At 36.9% G+C, this 7,366-nt stretch overlaps 1 long non-coding RNA gene across 1 annotated transcript; it reads right to left on the reverse strand.

Annotated features, from left to right (window-relative positions):
• Positions 1 to 1,800: 1,800 nt before the first annotated feature.
• LINC01751 (long intergenic non-protein coding RNA 1751) lies at positions 1,801 to 7,144 on the reverse strand. The gene is made up of 2 exons (NR_135005.1): positions 7,071 to 7,144; positions 1,801 to 3,463 (listed from the first exon to the last, which is right to left on the reverse strand). It is a non-coding gene; the product is annotated as a long intergenic non-protein coding RNA 1751 (long non-coding RNA).
• Between the last annotated feature and the right edge of the window lie 222 nt (positions 7,145 to 7,366).

The following is a 7,366-nucleotide window of genomic DNA, read 5'->3' on the forward strand; positions in this document are numbered from 1 at the left end:
TTATCTGTGAACAAAGATAATTTTACTTTTGGATACCTTTTATTTATTTTTCATGCCTAATTGCTCTGGCTAAAACATCTAATACTATGCTGACTGTAAGTGTTAAAGCAAGCATCTTTGTCTTGTTCCTGATCTTAGAAGTAAAGTTTTCAGTTCTTCCACACTGAGTGTGATGTTGTTTGTAGGTTTTTCATATGTGGTCTTTATTTTGTTGAAGTACTTTCCTTTGTTCTCATTTTGTTGAGTGTTTTTATCATGAGGGATATTGAAATGTATAAAATGCTTTTTCTGTGTCTATTGATATTCTCATGCTTCACCCTTTTATTCTGTTAATGTGGCATATTACAATAATTTATTGTCATATGCTGAACCATCCTGTATCTCAATAAATTTCACTTGGTTATGTTGTATAATCACTTTAATATGCTGCTGAATTCAGTTTTCTAGGATTTTACTGAGGATTTTTACATAAATGTTTATAACATATATCTTATAATGTCTTGTCTGGCTTTGGTATCAGGGTAGTCCTGGCCTCATAGAATGAGTTAGAAAGTGTTCCCTCTTCTTTAGAAGAGTTTGGAGAGAACTGTTGTGATTTCTTCTTTAAGTATTTGGTAGAATTCACCAGTGAAGCCTAGGTCTAGGGTTTTTCTTTGTCAAAAGGTTTTTGATTGTTAATTCAGCACCCGCCCCCCGCCCCCCACCGCCCCGCACAACTAGTTAGATGTATTTGGATTTTCTATCTCTTTATAATTTATTCTTGGTATATTTATATGAATTTCACATTTTGTCTAGATTAGCCAATTTGTTGACATACAATTGTTCCTAATACTCTCTTATATAGATTTGGTAATTATATCCCTACTTTCATTTCTGACTTTAGTTACTTGAGAGTAAACATGACACTTTGTAAAAATATTTAGCCAGATAGGATATTAGACAGGACAAGAGACTGGAAGGGAAAAATAAGACACATTTAGTTCTGAATTTTTGTCTGCTCTCAGGCAAAATAGGTGATGAGCATCCCCAACACCTATATCCAGGTACATGTCCCCAAACAGGAATCTTCAAACCCAAAAGTGAGATGGATCAGAGGCTAGTGTTGTTCATGATCTGTGTGTTACTGTGGTCAGCTTTTGTCACTGAAATATTGTGACTTGAAATCATGGTTTTTTCCCTCCAGTATTATCTTCTCAAGTATTTTGAAGGCAACGTATATGGTTGAGACAACCCATGAGGTCCCCTGGATAGATTACTGGTAATTTTTGAAAGAGGAAAACATGAAGGAGACTTCAGTTTTTCCTTTTTTTCTCCATAGATTCCCATTTTTATTTCCTGTTTGTATTTCACAGAGCACTAAGAAGGCATCAGTGAAACGCCTAATAAATACCTAGTATTTCTCAAAATCAAAAGTTTCACAACTCAGCACTCCAGGAAGTCTGATTTCATTGCTTGTTTATATGTTTTTCTCCCTTTTACCTTAACCAAAGCTGCCTTTTGCCAAATTTGAATGAAATTTGCCCCTCATAGGATTTCAGCTTGAAACTGAATTAAGAAGCCGGAAAGACTTAAAATAAGCAAGTGTTTTAAATGCTACACAATGTATCTATTTTTTTAAGTGGAAGTTTCATAGTATTTAAAGCCAGGTATATAAAACAAATTGCAACACATTTCCTCAAGCAACCACTTAGAGATCATACCAAATGAACTTAAAAAATATGTTTAATGAGTAACATGGAATGTGCTTAAATGATGCAATTTATCAGATTTTTTTTTCAGATAAACTTTCTACCAGCTTCCTCCAGTACAAAACACTTTTTATTTTCTTTTTAAAGCACCAAACTTTATTCCTTTCCCCGCCACCTCCCTTTTTTTTTAAAGCTCTTTCAGGTGGTGGAAGGTCTGAGGATCATTTGCACTAATTATTTTTAGTTCTTCCTCACGTAACACCTGAAGAGGACATTCTATTTATGGGAACCAAATTACTTAAAAATATTTCCAAGCTCTTTAAGCAGAGGTCAGTACACACATTAGCTGGGGGCAAAAGGAATATTCAAGCCTAGGCATCCCTTTTGAATTCACAGCTGGGATTTATGCAGCTCCATGCTGTTGGCCTGGTCCCCTTGGTTACCCTCCACCTTGCTCATAATATCCAGACAGCATGTCAGGGCCCATCTCATCTCCACATATCAATAGATGTTTGTGGAGGATCAGCTGTTCCCATGGTACCTGGGCTCCGGGATTTGTGTTGGAATGTGCTGTGTTTCCCAGACTCTAGGTTCTCAGCAACTGCTCATATACCATCTCGAGTCTCTGCACCTACTGAGTCTTTCCAGGATTTTGTGTTGCTGCACTGACAATTTTCACACTCTTGGGTCCTAACCCCCGATTACAAGCTGTGGGGATTAAGAAATTCCTCCCTGAGACCTGGTTGCACTTGCCTTAATTGCCCATTTGTTCTTCTCTGGGTTGATTTTTATTTTTCCTCCCCTTTAGGGTAATTTTGAAAGAAGCTCTAGTTATTATTTTCCTCATTCTAAATAATTGTGATAAAACTTTTGAAACTGCACTACTTCTACTGGAGAAAAGATAGAACTTTATTATCTTGCAGGAAAAGACCACCTTGCATGCTTTTCATCTTATTTTCTTGACTAGGGGTTTAATATCATTTAAAAATCCCAAACTGGATCGCCATGATCTCATGTAACAGTAAATATAGTGTAGAAATATTTTTGAATACAATGATGGATACAATGTAAATAATAAGACATTTGAAACAAGCATTTTATTAAAATAAAAACGCTTACCTGGAATCATGAATACACTTTTGAGATGGTTACTTATATAAGAAATATTTAACTCCTCAATTTTAAAAACATGTATATTGTGTGATAGTGCTTCGGTTTAAGTCTGAAATATGAATTTAAAAAAGAAGAATAAATAAAGAAGAAAATTTGGGAAAAAAAGACCTAGATTTAATATAATTAGCATGGGAATTGCTGAAAATAGAGATTCCCAATTTGGACCCTTGGTAGAGTTAATTTACTAGACAGGAAAGAAGAAGACAAAAATAAAATAGAACAAAAAACTGAGATGCCCGGATACATTTAAATTTTAGATAAAAATAATTTTTAAGTGTACGTTCTAAATATTATGGAACATACTTGTATTTTTTTTCACTGTTTATGTAGAATCCAAATTTAATTCAGTATCTTGTATTTTATCTGTCAGTTTTAATCACTAGAGACTTCAGTTCAGTCCTGGTGGGTGGGGGCCAAAACTGGTGTACTTTTTATAAGCTAAACTCTGCATGAATTCTAATGAGAAGCCAGGTTAGAAAACCACTAGCTTATTGTTTCAAAATGGAAGACACACGCACGCATGCGCACGTGCACACACACACACGCACACTTAAAACAGACACAATGGTGATCCCAAAGTCTGTGCTCCTGGTAGATTCATTCTGCAAATGAAAAAAATATATATTATCTGAAGTAAAGAGAGGAATCAAAATTCACCTGATTTTGCCATGAGGATCCTGGTACAGGAGGCAAAATACTCATGCATTTTCCAAATTACAGAATGTGCTACAGACTGACAGAGTTATTCATCATCATCATTGTTTTGGCTGGCTACCTTAAAATTTTGTTGTCAAACATTGTTGGTTACCATTGGATATTCTTGTTAACTTTTATGATTGATAGTGAGTTACCATGAGGTTACAAGTAAAACCCAACATATTATATGTAGTCAACTAGCTTTTAAAAACAGACTACAAGAGAACACATAGCAATTAATTTAACCTTAACATAAATTAGTTGATTTAATTGATTCACTATATATCTATTAAGTGCTTGGTATGTTGAAAAGCTGGGGATAAATTACAAATTAGATAGAGCCCCAACTCTCCAGGCACTTAATGGTTTAGAATCACAAGAGTTTCCTGCAGGACTTTAAGTCTCACATGACATGTTGATTATCATAGAATTTTATATACAAAATGCCAGAGTAGCAGAACACCTGGTTTAAAGAAGCTTTCTCATTAAAAAAAAAAAAAAGAAGAAGAAAATAAAAAAAAGTCCTCTACATTTTAAAATGTAGCAGCCTTAATATAAAGCTTCAGAAAGGAGAAATCCTTTTATGCACTTTTGAGGCTGCATGGTTTGGGAAAAGGAAGATTACTTTAAAGTTCTTTGTAATTACTGGATTTATTTAATGAAGAACTAGTTACAGCATTTAGTACTACATGACATGTTTTTGTTGGTCATTATCATATAAAACTTTTTCTAGATTCTTTTTTTCTGTTGGAGTATCCATTGTAAGCATTGTAATATGGAAGGGCTGTGCTACGTGATGTGAGTCACACTCATCGGGACAGGTGGGGGAACTGCAGGCTCCTTGGTGTAGAAGATCCAGCTCAGTGTGCAGCCATTTCAGGAAGACTTTTCTGACCACCCACTTTGAGCTCTCCTTTTTTAAACATCCATACTACTTCTCACTGGACTAGCTAATGTTCCAAAAATCTCTTATTGATGTTAAAGTCTGGCAGTTCAGAATAATATTTGGGAGTGAGGAGGAGCAAGTACCACATTATAGTCATGTTTTGAATTTCCCAGAGAGCCTCCTTCATCTAGATGTGGTCCCTGAGTCTTCTATCACCTGAGTGTTTGACCTGGATGTCACTTTGAAGATCATAACACAGAAGTAAGCCTTGTGGAAGCAAGTGCCTTTCACAGCACCATGGGTGTGCCCTGAGAAACAGAATACAAGGTAAAACCTCAATGTGCCAGGATGAGTGAGGATTTAGGGGTAATTATTCTTTCTGGTTCACTGGAAAATGTCTTTCTGAAAATTAAATCTATTACAATATGAAAGTTGCTTTGCTTACTATTCTGGCTTGTACAAAGAAGACTAAAGCGGAGCACCTGCTCTCAAAGATCAGATAATTCAGGTGAGGAGTTAAGGCAAATGTGAATGAAAATTTAACTAACAAGAGAGTTAATTAGGCAGCATGGGAAGGCGATGTCTTTTCTGAAAAAGAGATATTGAAGGTTAGCTTCCCATTTTCTACAGCAGCTTATTTCCCTGCACTGATAAATAAGAAATGGTAAATATAATTGGGTCATTCTTTCAATATAATATCCTGTGGCATATTAGGTCAATAATACCAATAATAACAACAGCCACTTATAGAGTGCTTAATACTTCTCAGTTTAATAATAACTTTTGTAAATTAACAATTTAATCCTCCCAACAGTCCAGTGAGCCAGGAGCTATTACCCCCATCTTTTGGAAAAAGAGAGGTTAAATAACTTGCCCAAGTTTACACAGCCATTAGGTAGCTGAGCCAAGCTGGCTCCAAAGCCCATGCTTAATAATGATTTCATTCTGCCTTCTTTGCTTCTGTGTATCAACTCTTATTGTGCCTTCTAAAAATATAAATTCCAGAAAATTTTACCTCTTCTTTTGTCTCTTTATGCTATAGTCAATTGAAAGGAAGAACATCTGGTGAGTAGAAGGTTCTTACAAGAAACACTCTGTTTCTAGGTAATTGAAGTTTTATGTCAGTGAGGCTGAGAGAGTACCTAGGCAAGGTCAGTTTATATGAGATGGAAGCAAAACAAACTTTAATGTCGCCTGACAGTCCATGGGCAACAGAAGAGGTTTTCTGAGATATCAGAAGAAAGTACAGCTTCGTGGAGGAAACAGAAGAAAGTACAGCTTCGTGGAGGAAAATGCACAATCTTATTAGGAAAGAGGCATTTCTCTGTGAAGACTCAAGATGATTTCTGTGTGGAAGAATTATACTGTTAATAACAAATAGGGGAAGCAGTGAGCTGTCTCCGGCTTTGTAACATCTGTTATAACTGCACCTGCCTCAAAGATTTCCTGGTTCCTATTCCCAAGAGAAAGTCAGTCAGCAGGAAATGAGGCAAGTGCACAATGACTTTACGGGAAAAAGATGGCTTTTGACTTCTCCTTGGGCTTAATTCCTGACAATATTGCATATTCCCCTTGTTGTTGATAGTACTTTACAAGGCAGTGGTTTGTAAAGTGAAAGATGGGAAGGAAGAAAGGGACCTATGCTTGGAAACAGTTTTTATGGAACACAGGAATGTCATAGGGCACGGGTCAATTGGGTGACATCAATACATCTGGCTGTTAGTCCTTGCTCTGACTGAATGGGTAATACACGGAAACAAAACATATTCCTACTCACCACAACAATTCAAAGGCTCACACCTGTGTCTCCTTTCATTCTCTAATGTAGTGATTCTTAGATTCCCAAACTTTAGAGTGAATCAGGATCACCTGGACGGCTTGTTTAACCACACATTGCAGGACCTGATGTAGTTTCTAACACAATGTGTCTGATGTGGTACCTAGGAATCTGTATTTCTGCAAGTCCCTAGGTGAGGCTGAGGCTGCTGGTCTGGGGATTACATTTGAGAATTATTGCTGTGATTGATTTAAACAGAAATCTCCCATTCTTATTATTCTTGGGCCTCTCTCTCATCAGGATGATCCAGTTCCCAGGGATTTTCACCATTTCTTCCTATCAGGACGATTGAGCAGAATCTGCCCCTCACTTCTCCACCGAAGTCCCAGCAGCAGCCTCAGCATTTATCTCCAACTTGGATGAAATTAATTAAGTTACATTCAAGGGGTTCCAGAGAGAAGTTGAGTGCATGTAGCCTGCCTAAGCTAGTACAATGGAGCAGGCATTTCCCCAAAGGCCTCACTATATTGGATGGACATCATGTTTTACATCAATTTTCCTGGAGTAAATCTGCTGCAGATGAAATGCTAACATTGTCCACTGTTAGTATATGAAGGCTTGGGGAAGGACATTAGCTCCCCCTTATCCTTGATTTTGTTTCTTACACTTGCAGTTACCCACACTCAACTGTGGTCTGAAAATATTATGACCTTTATGAAAAAGTTCACAAATAACAATTTATAAGTTTTAGATGGAACACTGTTCTGAGTAGCATGATTCCTGCTTCCATCTCACCCCTAATGTGACTCATTCCTTTGTCCAGCATATCTGTGGGGTATATGTTCCCCACCTGTTAGTGCTGGACATCGTCTGCTCCTGACATCCAATCAACATCAACATGGCTTGACGATCCAGGATCACCCGAAGCAAATGGTCCTCCGACTGGAGAATCTTCAGAAAGTCAACTGTAGCCTAACGCTATGTCACAATGCCTATGTCATTCACCTCACTTCATCGCATCACGTAGGCATTTTATCATCTCATACCATTACAACAAGATGAAGGGGAAGTACAGTACAAGAAGATATTTTGAAAGAGAAAGACCACATTCACGAAACGTTTATTACATTATATTGTTGCAATTTT

This window comes from Homo sapiens, chromosome 20, assembly GCF_000001405.40.
Source record: "Homo sapiens chromosome 20, GRCh38.p14 Primary Assembly".
Classification (NCBI taxonomy): domain Eukaryota; kingdom Metazoa; phylum Chordata; class Mammalia; order Primates; family Hominidae; genus Homo; species Homo sapiens.